The following is a 14,575-nucleotide window of genomic DNA, read 5'->3' as shown; positions in this document are numbered from 1 at the left end:
CTTTAACATCCACTGCCAATATTCGACAGATCAACGAGACAGAAAATTAACAAGGATATTCAGGACCTGAACTCAGCTCTGGACCAAGCAAACCTAATAGACATCTGCAGAACTCTCCACCCCTAATCAACAGAATATACATTCTTCTCAGCACCAGATCACACTTATTCTAAAATTGACCACATAATTGGAAGGAAAACACTCCTCAACATATGCAAAATAACAGAAATCATAACAGTTTCTCAGATCACAGTGCAATCAAATTCGAACTCAGGATTAAGAAACTCACTTAAAACTGCACAACTACAGGGAAGTTGAACAACCTGCTCCTGAATGACTACTGGGTAAATAATGAAATGAAGGCAGAAAAAAGATGTTCTTTGAAACCAATGAGAACGAAGACACAATGTACCAGAATCTCCGGGACACATTTAAAGCAATGTGCAGAGGGAAATTTATAGCACTAAATGCTCACAAGAGAAAGCAGGAAAGATCTAGAATCGACACCATAACATCAAAATTAAAAGAACTAGAGAAGCAAAAGCAAACAAATTCAAAATCTAGCAGAAGATAAGAAATAACTAAGATCAGAGCAGAACTGAAGGAGATAGAGACACAAAAAACCCTTCAAAAAATCAATGAATCCAGGAGCTGTGTTTTTGAAAAGACCAACAAAATAAATCACTAGCCAGACTAATAAAGAAGAAAAGAGAGAAGAATCAAATCGATGCAATAAAAAATGATAAAGGGGATATCACCATTTATCTGACAGAAATAAAAAACTACCATCAGAGAATACTATAAACACCTCTACGCAAATAAACTAGAAAACCTAGAAGAAATGGATAAATTCTTGGACACATACACCCTCCTAAGTCTAAATCAGGAAGGAGTCGAATCCCTGAATAGACCAATAACAAGTTCTGAAATTGAGGCAGTGATTAATAGCCTACCAACCAAAAAAAGTCCAAGACCAGACAGATTCACAACCAAATTCAACCAGAGGTACAAAGAGGAGCTGGTACCATTCCTTCTGAAACTATTCCAATCAATAGAAAAAGAGAGAATCCTCCTTAACTCATTTTATGAGGCCAACATCGTCTGATCCAAAACCTGGCAGAGACACATCAAAAAAAGAAAATTTCAGGCAAATATCCCTAATGAACATCGATGCGAGAAGCCTCAATAAAATCTGGCAAACCAAATCCAGCACCACACCAAAAGGCTTATCTACCACGATCAAGTTGGCTTCATCCCTAGGATGTAAGGCTGGTTCAACGTATGCAAATCAATAAACGTAATCCATCACATAAACAGAACCAACGACAAAAACCACATGACTATCTCAATAGATGCAGAAAAGGCCTTCGACAAAATTCAACACCCCTTCATGCTAAAAACTGTCAATAAATTAGGTATTGATGGAACATATCTCAAACTAATAAGAGCTATTTATGACAAACCAACAGCGACTATCAAGCTGAATGGGCAAAAACTGGAAGCATTCCCTTTGAAAACTGGCACAAGACAAGGATGCCTTGTCTCACCACCCCTATTCAACACAGTATTGGAAGTTCTGGCCAGGGCAGTCAGGCAAGAGAAAGAAATAAAGAGTATTCAAATAGGAAAGGAGGAAGTCAAGTTGTCTCTGTTCGCAGATGAAATGATGGTATATTTACAAAACCCCATCATCTCAGCTCAAAATATCCTTAAGCTGATAAGCAACTTCAGCAAAGTCTCAGGATACTTCACTGTGCAAAAATCACAAGCGTTCCTATACGCTAATAACAGACAGCCAAATCATGAGTAACTCCCATTCACAATTGCTACAAAGAGAACAAAATACCTAGGAATCCAACTTACAAGGGATATGAAGGACGTCTTCAAGAAGAACTACAAACCACTGCTCAAGGAAATTAAGAGAGGACACAAACAAATGGAAAAACTTTCCATGCTTATGGATAGGAAGAATCAATATCGTGAAAATGGCCATACTGCCCAAAGTAATTTATAGATTCAATGCTGTCCCCATCAAGCTACTATTGACTTTTCTTCACAGAATTGAAAAAAACTACTTTAAACTTCATATGGAACGAAAAAAGAACCCACGTAGCCAAGACAACTCTAAGCAAAAAGAACAAGGCTAGAGGCATCATGCTACCTGACTTCAAATTATTCTGCAAGGCTGCAGTAACCACAACAGCATGGTACTGGTACCAAAACAGATACATAAACCAATAGAACAGAAGTGAGGCCTCAGAAATAACACCACACATCTACAGCCATCTGATCTTTTGACAAACCTGACAAAAACAAGCAATGCAGAAAGGATTCCCTATTTAATAAATGATGTTGGGAAAACTGGCTAGCCATATGCAGAAAACTGAAACTGGACCCTTTCGTTATACCTTATACAAAAATTATCTCAAGATGGATTAAAGACTTAAAACGTAAAACCTAAAACCATAAAAATCCTAGAAGAAAACCTAGGCAATACCATTCAGGACGTAGGCATGGGCAAAGACTTCATATCTAAAACACCAGAAGCAATGGCAGCAAAAGCCAAAATTGACACATGGGATCTAATTAAACTAAAGAGTTTCTGCACAGCAAAAGGCACTATCATCAGAGTGAACAGGCAGCCTACAGAATGGGAGAAAATTCTTGCAATCTATCTGACAAAGAGCTAATATCCAGAATCTACAAAGAACTTAAATTTACAAGAAAAAAAAACCATCAAAAAGTGGGTGAAGGATATGAACAGACACTTCTCAAAAGAAGACATTTATGCGGCCAACAAACATATTTAAAAAAGCTCATCATCACTGGTCATTAGAGAAATGCAAATCAAAACTACAGTGAGATACCATCTCACGCCAGTTAGAATGGCGATCATTAAAAAGTCAGGAAATGACAGATGCTGGAGAGGATGTGGAGAAATAGGAACGCTTTTACGCTGTTGGTGGGAGTGTAAATTAGTTCAACCATTGTGGAAGACAGTGTGGTGATTCCTCAGGGACCTAGAACTAGAGATACCATTTGACCCAGCAATCCCATTACTGGGTATATACCCAAAGGACTATAAATCATTCTGCTATAAAGACACATGCACACATGTGTTTATTACAGCACTACTCACTATAGCAAAGACTTGGAACCAACCCAAATGTCCATCAAAGATAGAGTGGATAAAGAAAATGTGGCACATATACACCATGGAATACTATGCAGCCATTAAAAAGGGTGAGTTCATGCCCTTTGCAGGGACATGGATGAAGCTGGAAACCATCATTCTCAGCAAACTAACACAAGAACAGAAAACCAAACACCTCATGTTCTCACTCATAAGTGGGAGTTGAACAATGAGAACACATGGACGCAGGGAGGGGAACATCACACGCCTGTCGGGGGTTGGGCGGCTAGGGGAGGGATAGCATTAGGAGAAGTACCTAATACAGGTGATGGGTTGATGGGTGCAGCAAACCACCATGGCACATGTATACCTGTGTAACAAAACTTCACGTTCTGCACATGTACCCCAGAATTTAAAGTATATTAAAAAAAAGTCTTTTTCAACAAATGATAGTAGGCCTACTGGATATTTACAGAGAAAGAAAAAGTGAACTTTAATCTTTAACTCACACCATCGCCACAATTAACTTAAAACAGACAATAATAAATAGGCTCATGTCTAAAAGTTAAAGGTTTAAAATTTTTAGGATAAAACCAAGCTTTTCATAGAAATATTTGCAAACTGGACAAAGCTTTAAAATACCAAAAACACATACCATAAAAGAAAAAATGAGGCCAGGCACAGTGGCTCACGCCTATAATTCTAACACTTTGGGAGGCTGCAGTGAGAGGATCACTTGAGACTAGGAGTTTGAAACTAGCCTGGGGAACATAGTGACACCCTGTATCTACAAAAAATAATAATAAATTAGCTAGTTGTGGTGGTGTGTGTCTGTAGTCCCAGCTGCTTGGGAGGATGAAGCAAGAGGGTGGCTTGAGCCCAGGAGGTCAAGGCTGCAGTGACCCATGATTGGACCACTAACTACACTCCAGCATGGGCGACAGAGTGAGACCCTATCTCAAAAAAGAAAAAATGATCATCATTTCGACCTCATCAGAATTTAAAACTTAGGCTCTTCAAAAGACACCATTAATAAAAGGAAAAGGTAAACCAGGACCAGGGTAAAAATATTTGCAGCACGTAACAGAGAACTCTTACAACTGAATAATAAGACAGACATTCCAGTTAAAAAACTTTCCACAGACGTTTACAAAAGATACCTAATTGTACACCAAGTAAATGGAAAGATGGTCAACATTATTCATCATTAGGGAAGTGCAAATTAAAAATGTGTTTATGGGAGAATATATATCATATAGGAGAAGTCTTATTCATTTAAATCACTGTTTATTTAGCTGGCTCTTTAATAAAAATCATATTTGAAATCAATTTAAACTGCTGGTGACTTTGATAGTTTTACTGGTTAAGGCACTTCCTTCCCCACCTCTTATTTGTGGCTGTAATGTTTGTGGATCAAGATGCAAAATAGTGGCTCCTAAATGTGAGGGTGCTTAAAAATGCAGGTTTCTGGGGTCCATTCTGCTTACAAGGAATTAGATTCTGGAGGTGGGGCCCCAGAATCTGCATTTCCACAAACATTGTAGGTGTTTATGATGCAAATACATCACAAACAATTGTTTTAAAAATGCTGGGCCAAAGAGTATCTTTTGTTTAGGTAGTAGTTGATCCTAGGAAAACATTTTAAACTCCCAGAGACCCAAGAAGCCCATATGTTTGATTTGGGAGTTTCCTGCTCAACTTTGACCTGACAGTTCAACAAGCAGTATGACCATTTCCCACAAGATTTCTTGTATCTCTTCAGTTGTTTCCTAGCTTGAAATCAGAAAATAGTCTTCATTCATCTCCATATAAATAAGATTTTAGTGAAAATTTATAAAACCAATTGTATTGACACTTCAGAACATGTGTAATCATTGCAGAAAGCATAAAATAATGCAATATGCTATCATAATGTCTCAGATTTTGTTGCTTTGAAATTGTCAAAGGGTGAGCCCAGCACACTGGCATGCTGCATCTGTAGTCCCAGCTACTCAGGAGGCTCTAACACAGGAGTTTGAGACCAGCTTGGGCAACATAACGAGACCCCTGTCTCTCAAAAATAGTAATAATAATAATTTTAAAAATCAGGGAAAAAACTGCAATGATATTAGCAAAGGCCACCACTCTTTATATTGCATCTTCCCTAGTTTGTTTTTCAATATTACATATTTGCAGACATTTGCTTTCTGTTAATAAAGCACTAAACAGTGCCATGTTAAATAAACGTGGATAGGAACCATTTGAATCAGCTGTGGAGACAGCTGTGTTACTGCATTTTTGGTTTGGTTAACATAGGATTGTACCTGTGTCAACTTGTATCGTACTCACTCGGATATTAAACTGTTCCTTAGATATAGATCTGGTATGGTTTTGAAAATATGCTTTTATTTATGAGGGAATCATATTTGATGTACTGTTTCTTCTATATCATTCTGTGAGCACTTTGTAAATATCACAGTAACAGTTGCTGGACATCACATCTTTGAAGCATTTTACAGGAGATCTTAGCACAAGACATAAAAAATAAAACTTATCTAAGGATTTGAAAGGAAGAATCAAATTGTTACTTGCAGATGATTTGTCTACAGTGATCATCCAAGATAGTGCTCATTTTGGCAGCACATATAGCAGCAGTGGAAAATCATGAGAGAATCTAGACAGACTGTTGGAATTAAACTCACCAAGGTGACTAGGTATAAGATCAGTACGTGAAAATTAGTAACTTTTTAATATGAACAGTATCCATGTATAGTTACTTTATGACATCTCCATCTAGATAAGACATCTAAATTTAAATGTCTAAAACAATGCTCTTGAAAATCTACCTCTTCCCACTTCCAACCCACTCCTCCCATGTCATGACTGTGTATCCAGTGAAAATCTTAGAATGAGTTATCCTTGATCCCTCAAAATCAATCCATCAGCACAACCTGTTTTCTCAAGCTTCCAAATATATTCAGAAACCAGCCACTGCTCGCTACTCTCCCTTGCAGCCACCCTAGATTGTATCTGCCGTCACCAGTTGCCTGGAGCACTCCAGGACTTCCCTGCTTCCCACTGTTGGGCTCCTACAGGAACTTCCTTGGTACTTCACAAAGTAGCCAGAATTAACCTTATGATATGTGTCAGATCATGCTACTCCTTGCTCAAAAACACTGTAGTTTGTTACACTTTGAATAATCTATACTCCTACAAGGAGACCTGGCTCTTGTACCTCTGAGCTCAGCTCCTACCTCCTACTCCTCCCTCACTGCACAGTGGTCACTTCAGCCTCCTTGTTCAACTCGCCAAATACATTACTACTTTCTTCCCCTAGATCTCTGTCGTTCAGGTCTTGGCAGCAGTGTCCCTCCTCAGAGAGGCATTTTCGGTTCTAAACACAGCCCCGCCGTGTTTGATTTTTCTTTATACACACATTTTCACCTAACATATTCAACTTTTGTTCCCCCTACTAGGAGGTTAGTGCCATGAGAGCAGGTGCTTTTCTTTATTCCCCACTGTAGCCCCAGCCAATAGACGGTAACTGGCATATAGTAAACATTCATACATTTGTATTGAATGGATGGGGTATATACTTTTTTACCCCACCTGGCCACTTTAGACATTTCCATTTGTAATTTGCAGAACAGCCTCTTGGCTCTGTGAGAGAAAAACACTGTATCTTAATTTCCTTTTTCTCCAACATCTAAACAGTCCATGGAATTAATATATAGGAATTATATATTATATATAGGAATATATATTACATTATAGGAATATATATTATATATAGGAATATAATATTATATAGGAATTAATGACATACAGTTATGCCTTATACTTTATTTTTCCTTGATTTGATTAAGATTTATGTAAATTTGAGTTTCATACTAATGAAACTAATGAGCTGAGGAGCATCTCTTGTTTTAAAGGCGCCAAAGAATGTTTTTGTTACATAACATCTAAGAAACAGACAGGGCAGAAAGCAGGAAGGAATAGATGCCAACACTGTGTTGCAAGGAATTGTGCCTTCATGTCCCGGTGTCTTTAGTTTCATGCTTTAGTAAAATATAATCTTACTTTTGGTGCTTGCTTTCTTTTTTTGTTTGTCATCTTTTCTGTTCAACATATGCAGAGGGATTCTTAAGCTACACAAAAGAATGTTCTAAATTGGTAGGGCTAAAAACATGTTTGGATTTTATTACCTTCAGCTAAATTATTCCACTACTCAGATTATTTAATCTTTATAGAATTGAATTAAAGCCAAATTTCCTCCATATTATGAATGTCCTTGTCTATTTCTAATTATTTCTTGTATCTCCTAAATCCTGGATATTTCCTCTGACTCCTTAATCCTGAATGAAATTACTATATCATTTCAAAGCTTACGTTACTATGAATTTCAGTGATGATGGAAATAAAGTAGTCTCACAAAATGGGTTTTGCTCTGACATCATTTCCTAGAACAAAAACATCAAAATCTACTATTTTGAAACTTAGTGCCTGACTGAATTTCTGACTTTCTGACTGAATTTCTGACACTTTAGGCATGTGAACCACCACCACTACTCCCCCTACCCCACCAAAAGTCATTTATGTTTTATATCAGCGTTAGGCCCTGATGTTGTCTGAGGTTTGCTATTCAGAAATCTGTTCTATTGAGAAGTTCTGGTATCAGGTGGGTTAGTTAGAAGATGCTACTGTAATATGGAGGCCAGGACATCAGAGATCAGTTCTAGTGTATTCCAAACTCTCAGATGAAATAGATATTTCAATTCTTGGAAGTTTGTATCCCAAATTCATTTTTGTTTAGTCCTTTGCCACTCTAGTTACAATCTGATTGTGATTTTTGTCTTCATATATTGTCTGCTAAATGTATGTAAGTTGTATTAACTCTTTATTCATCATACATGTATCAGAAAATCCAAGCGACCTATTAAAGTATATCGTTACCAATTATACCAACCAAATAAATTTCAACATTCAGTCTGCCTGAGCATTTTCTATTTGCATATACCTTTGAAGAAGAAAAATAATCCCACTTTTTCATTTTCTAAAACGCAATCTTTATTGGTTTCTGCTAATTTAAAAAGTGACGCACATTTCTGATAGATTGTTAGACCCAATTTTTCTTAAAATGGCATTGTTATGACAAAAGTCAGCTGTCTGAATAGAGTTTGGGGAAACATATATTTTGAAGAATTGCTTCTTATGTTGTTTTCTTTTTATTTACAGTATATCTCTCTACCGGGGGAATTGCAGGCCCATACGATTTGAGCCACCAATGCTGGATTTCCATGAACAGTAAGTTTAAAATTTTTGGACTGTACTTTCCCATTAAACTATTAAATGTATTTTACATGCATTTGTCTTGTCTTTTGCCTGTGTTACATCTATGTGGGAAAGTTACATGTTCTAGTCATCAGGAAAACAAATGATACTGAATGCAGTTTGAAAATGGGAAGTAAGTATCTATTAGGAGTCTAACATGTAATATTAACTTTTAAAGCTTGAAAAATACTCGCTTGTTGTAGTCTCTGGTTCAGAGACTCTTTGGAAACAGCAAAGAACTTATAGTTAGCTGTTTTGATTAGCACTTCATTTTTATTTTTACTATTTAAAAATCTTCTTATGAATAAAATATATTCTATTTGTTTAATATATGTGCTTTTAATAGACAAGCTCTTATATATCACCAAATAGTATTATCACCAACCCATAATGGCAGGTAAAAGCAAACGCACAGACAGACATGGTTCATTCACAGAACTCTGCCTTGATGAGCTAAGCAAACCACTGCACACCCTCCCCCAAGCAGGAGAGACCCCCGGGCCTCTAAGCAGCTAATATACCCAAGGGCCAGCAAAGCAGCTACATACCTGCACTCAGCACCTAAGAAAGAGCCCCACAGTGCACCCCCAAGATATTTCCTTGGCCTGCCCAATGGCCCTGCACCTGAAATCAGGGCCTGAAAAACAGCCCTGTGGGCAACCACCGGCAGACACACCTCCAGACCAGCTGAGCATCTCTGTGCCTGTGTCAGGCCTAAGAAATAGCCCTGTGGGTCGCCACTAGCAAACATGTCCCCAGGCTAGCCAAGCAGCTTTGTGCTCACATCATGGACCTGAGAAGCAGCTGTATAGGCTGCCCCTGGCAGACACATCCTCGGGCCAGCTGAGCAGACTTGCAACTGTGTCTTGGACCTGAGAAACAGCCCCATAGGGCAGACACACTTCAAGGCCAACTAAACACCCATGTGTCTGCACCCCCACCCTGAGAAACAGCCCCATGGGTCACCCCAAGCCAACAGACACCCAAGCCATCTGAGAAGCCATGAGACTGCATCCCACGCCTGAAAAACAGCCCTGCGGGCCATCCCTGGCAAACATAACTCCCAGTTCAGCTGAGCAGCCTCAGCGGGCTCCTATATGTCCCTTCTCAGATTCTCCAAAAAGAGTTTTTTCATCTTGCTGAGTCAAAAGAAAGTTTTAACTCTGTGACATAAATCCACACGTCACAAAGCAGTTTCACAGATAGCTAGGCCTGAGAAACAGCCCTTTGGGCTACTCCTGGCAGGCATACACCCACACCATCCAACTAAACACGTGCTTGTGCTGCTGTCCAGAGTAACAGCCCTGCGTTTTAGAGCCAGACCCTAAGTTGGCCAGATTCCAAGCTGCCTGACCCACTGTGTGGATGCACACATCCCTGACCTGAGAAACAGCCTTGTGAGCCCACCCTCAACAAAGCTGCACCACTACCACCACAGACTCTCTCAGCCTAGGCTACTGAGATACTTGCAGACGTCAAGTGTGACTGACAGCTGAGGAAAGTACCCAGAGACTACACTACAGTGCCCACCTAGACACAGATGCACCAAAGCCAATGCACCCCACCAATCTGACACTCCAAGACCCATTTATAAGAATAAGTCTTTCCCTGTGAAATGTACTCCATAAAATTGGAAGAAATGACTTTTCTACCAGATGTATAGAAATCAACATGGGGACACATCAAACACAAAAAAGCAAGGAAACATGACGCCTCCAAAGGAAAACAATAATTCTTCAGTAACAGACCCCAATCATAAGAAAATATACTAAATGCTAGAGAAAGAATTCAAAATAATCTTAAAGAATCTCAGTGAGATACAGGAAAACTTACAGTTCAGCAAAATCAAGAAAACAATTCATGATTTGAATAAGAAATTCAACAAAGAGACAGGTAACATAACAAAGAACCAAACAGAAATCCTAGAGCTGAAGAATTCAATGAGTGAAATAAAAAATACAGTCAAGAGCTTCAACAATAGACTAAACCAAGCAGAAGAAAGAATTTCTGAACTTGAAGACAGATCTTTTGAAATGACACAGGCAGACAAAAAAAGAAAAAAGGGTGAAGAAAGCCTACAGGATGTATTGTATACCATGAAGTGAACAAATATATTATGGTCATTCCAGAAGGAGAAGAGAAAGGAGAAAGGCTTAGAAAACATACTTAATGAAATAGTAGCTGAAAACTTCCCAAGTCTTGAAATTTGAGATGGACATCCAGGTCCAGTAAACTCAAAGAATTCCAATTAGAGTCAGCCCAAACAGGTTATCTCTGAGGCACATTATAGTCAAATTATCAGATGTTAAAGGCAAAGAATTCTAAAAGTAGCAAGAGAAAAGTGTCAAGTCACATATAAGGGAATTCCCATTAAACTAACAGCAGATTTCTCAGCAGAAAACTTACAGGCCAGGAAAGAATGAAATGATATATTAAAAATACTCAAAGTGGGGGTGGGGGACCTGTGAGCCAAGAACACTATATACCCTGCAAAGCTACATTTCAGAAATAAAAAAGAATTAAAATCTTTCACAAACGGCCGGGCGCGGTGGCTCACGCCTGTAATCCCAGCACTTTGGGAGGCGGGCGGATCACAAGGTCAGGAGATCAAGACCATCCTGGCTAACATGGTGAAACCCCGTCTCTACTAAAAATACAAAAAAAAATTAGCTGGGCGTGGTGGCGGGCGCCTGTAGTCCCAGCTACTCGGGAGGCTGAGGCAGGAGAATGGACCGGGAAGCGGAGCTTGCAGTGAGCGGAGATCGCGCCACTGCCCTCCAGGCTGGGTGACAGAGCGAGACTCCGTCTCAAAAAAAAAAATCTTTCACAAACAAGGAGAAATGAAGGGAATTCATCACTGCTAGACTGGCCTTACAAGAAATGCTTAAGGGACTCTTATATCTGGAAATGAAAACATAACCACCATTATGAAAACATGTGAAACTATAAAATTCACTGGTAGAGCCCAAATACAAAGAAAGGAAAAAGAATCAAACCGTATCAATGTGGAAAACCACCCAAGCACAGAAAAACCATAAGAAAAGAAGTACAGAACAAAAGATAAAACATCCAGAGAACAATATGACAGGAACAAGTCTTTACCTATCAATAACCTTGAATGTAAATGGGTTCAGTTCCCCCATCTAAAAGATATAAACTGGCTGAATGGATAAACCCCAACTATATACTGCCTGTAAGAAACTCACCTCATCTGTAAAGTCATACAGACTGAGAGTGAAGGGAAAGAAAAAGATACTTCATCCAAATGGAAACCAAAAGCCAGCAGGAGTAGCATTACTTACATAAGGCCAAACAGACATCAAGTAAAAAGCTATAAAAAGCAACAAAGAAGGACATTATGAGATAAAGGGATCAGTTAAGCAAGAAAATATAACAGTTGGAAATATATATGCACCTAGCACTAGAGCACCCAGATATAAAAAGCAACTATTAGATCTAAAGGGAGAGATAGACCCCAGTACAATAATAGAGTTGGGGATTTCAGCAGTCCACTCTCAGCATTGGACAGGTCATCTAGACAGAAAATCAACAAAGAAGCATTGGATTTAAACTACACCATCAACTAAATGGACCTAACAGACATTTACAGAACATTTCACCAAAAAGCTGCAGAATACCATTTCTTTCGTCAACACATGAAGCATTCTTCAGGATTGATCGTATGTTAGGACACAAAATGAATCTCAAAAAAATTTTTTTAAATTAATTTTATCAACTATCTTATCTGACCACAATGGAATTTAAAACTAGAAATCGATAACAAGAGGAACATTCAAAACTACAAATACGTGAAAATCAAACAACATGTTCCTGAATGACCAATGGGTGAAGGAAGAAATTAAATGGTAAACTAAAATATTTCTTGAGACAAATGAAAATAGAAATACAATATACCAAAACCTATGGGGCACAGCAAAAGCAATATTAAGAGGCAAATTTATATAACAATAAATCCTACATCAAAAAACTAGAAAGATTTCAAATAAACAACCTAATGATGCATCTTAAAGAACTAGAAAAGAACAAATCAAAGCCTCAAAATTAGTGGAAGGAAATAAGTAAGATCAAAATCAAAATGAATGAAATTGAGACTAAAAATACCTACAAAAAGTGGGGAACATCTGTATTTATTTGTTGAGTTACAAAAATCTAACCATATTATCTCAATATACCATTTTTATAACAATATATTGTGCATACTTCAAAAAATTCCATTGAATTTTCTGTTATTTTATAATAAAGAACATCAAAATTTATGGGTATATTATATTTGTTAAATTCACTTATTTTTAATTGTTTTAAACTTTTTATTTTGTGATCAGTGCTGAAACTGATGATTTAAACACAACCATGACTATTTCCTTTCCTCAAGAGAGAGTCCTAATGGAAGGATATACAGAATATTAAAGATTTTAATTAACCTTTAGCCTAGAGAACAGTTCGGTGTCATGAACAAGGAGCAACTTAAAGAAATAAAAGAATCAGTCTATGACAAGTGAGGAAATAAATGGGATTTCTCATAGAGACTGTTACTAGTCATAGAGAACCTGAAATCTCATGAGCTGAGAGAAATTGTGGAAGATTTGTGGAAGAAGTGTGAATGGGTAGATGAACTCCAGTACAAGCAAGGGTCAGTTGACACAGTAAAGAAAATTTATTTGAAGCATAGCAAAGGAGTATAGTTATATAAGACTGTTCCCCAAAGCAGCGGATTTACATGCTGCTCCAAAATAGTGGAAACAGACAAACAAACTTCGCTATAGTCTGAATGTGTCCTCCCAAAATTCATACATTGAAACCTAATCTCTGATGTGATTGTGTTCAGAGGTGGAGCTTTAGGAGGTGTTTAGGTCAGGAGCGCAGACCTAATCTCACAAATGGGATTAGTGACCTTACAAGAGAGGCCCCATAGAGCTACTGTCCCCTTTCTGCCATGTGAGGACCCAGCTAGAAGGTGTCACCTGTGACCCAGAAAGAAGGCTCCACACCAGAACCCAACCATGCCGACACCCCGATCTCAGATTTCCCAGCCTCTAGATCTATGAAAAATAAATTTGTCATTTATTGTGCTATAGCAGTCCAAAAGGACTGAGCCACCATTCTACTATTATTTAAAACTTTCTGGATCAAGTCAGAGAACACTGAGCGGAGTTTGTTATATCTCGCAAGTGTAGAAGTGGATCTGTAGAAGTAGGGGTTGCAGGCAGGTGTGAACCAACATGTGTAAGGGTTCAATCAGAGGCAGAACCAGTCAGATTTTAAATGAATGTATATGTATATATACACGCACATGGGTTTATAATAAGGAATTGGCTTATGCATTTGAGAGAGCTGGTTAAGCAAGCTCAAAGCCCACAGGGCCAGGGAGTCAGTAAGGGAGGATAGCGGGCTGGAACCCCAAGGGCACAGACTGAAGTTTCTTGTCCACAGATAAGTATCCAGGGAAGATCCTGAGGAGAGGAGAGAAATTGCAGGTCTAGCTGCTGTTTGAAGCCTCTTGGCTCAGACAGGGCCTAAGCTTTCTTTGAAAGTGCTTCCCAGTGACAAAGTCACAGACTCACCTAGAATAATCGTTTTTATTAACTTGAAATCAGCCTATTAGGGACTTTAATTATGTTGGCAAAATCTCTCCCAGCAGCACTTAGGTTAGTGTTTGAATAACTGGGAAAAGGTATATTATGCTACAAAATAGCTGCTGTCTCACTTTTCTCTTCTGTCTCTAAGGAGATAATATTACTTTTAACTCACCCTAACCAGAAACATACTAGAAAGGGAGTTCTGGGGACTTTAGTTCAAGTCAAGTTGATATCACAAAGCTACCCCATAGATACAAACAAAGAGGTTCCTAAATTTTGAACTTCTGACTCTAGAAAATGAAGAGAGATATGGTTGAAAGAATTTGCTTAGTAATTTTAAGGTAAGGTTCTTTTTGTGAAACTTGAAAGTAGTCTTGGGACAAAGAAAATGAAATTTGTACATTTTCACTGCAGAAAGTAAATTATCAATGTCTTCAGAAAGTGACTGCTAAAGGAAAACAGATATTTTAGAATAGATCCTCTTTTAAAGTTATTGTATGTTTTTTCCACTCTCAGAAGCATACAACTTGTTGAT

At 38.2% G+C, this 14,575-nt stretch overlaps 1 protein-coding gene across 8 annotated transcripts in view, besides 2 other annotated features; it reads left to right on the top strand.

Annotated features, from left to right (window-relative positions):
* TMEM131 (transmembrane protein 131) overlaps positions 1-14,575 on the top strand; it is a 239,613-nt gene that overhangs the window by 99,481 nt on the left and 125,557 nt on the right. For all 8 annotated transcript variants that reach the window (XM_047443844.1, XM_047443843.1, NM_015348.2 and 5 more), the window contains one exon: positions 8,348-8,416. In XM_047443844.1, coding sequence (XP_047299800.1) covers positions 8,348-8,416 — 69 coding nt within the window. The remainder of the gene's footprint in view (positions 1-8,347; positions 8,417-14,575) is intronic.
* Positions 8,725-9,224: an enhancer, noted in NCBI's record as "H3K4me1 hESC enhancer chr2:98503707-98504206 (GRCh37/hg19 assembly coordinates)". NCBI's record gives its function as "activates a minimal SCP1, AML or CMV promoter by ChIP-STARR-seq in naive H9 embryonic stem cells {active_cell/tissue: H9 hESC(naive)}" and the evidence as "EXISTENCE:reporter gene assay evidence [ECO:0000049][PMID:30033119]".
* Positions 9,225-9,726: an enhancer, noted in NCBI's record as "H3K4me1 hESC enhancer chr2:98503205-98503706 (GRCh37/hg19 assembly coordinates)". NCBI's record gives its function as "activates a minimal SCP1, AML or CMV promoter by ChIP-STARR-seq in naive H9 embryonic stem cells {active_cell/tissue: H9 hESC(naive)}" and the evidence as "EXISTENCE:reporter gene assay evidence [ECO:0000049][PMID:30033119]".

Source organism: Homo sapiens, chromosome 2 (genome assembly GCF_000001405.40).
Source record: "Homo sapiens chromosome 2, GRCh38.p14 Primary Assembly".
NCBI lineage: Eukaryota > Metazoa > Chordata > Mammalia > Primates > Hominidae > Homo > Homo sapiens.
Note: the sequence above shows the minus strand (reverse complement) of the source record. Positions and strands in the feature narration are given on the sequence as shown.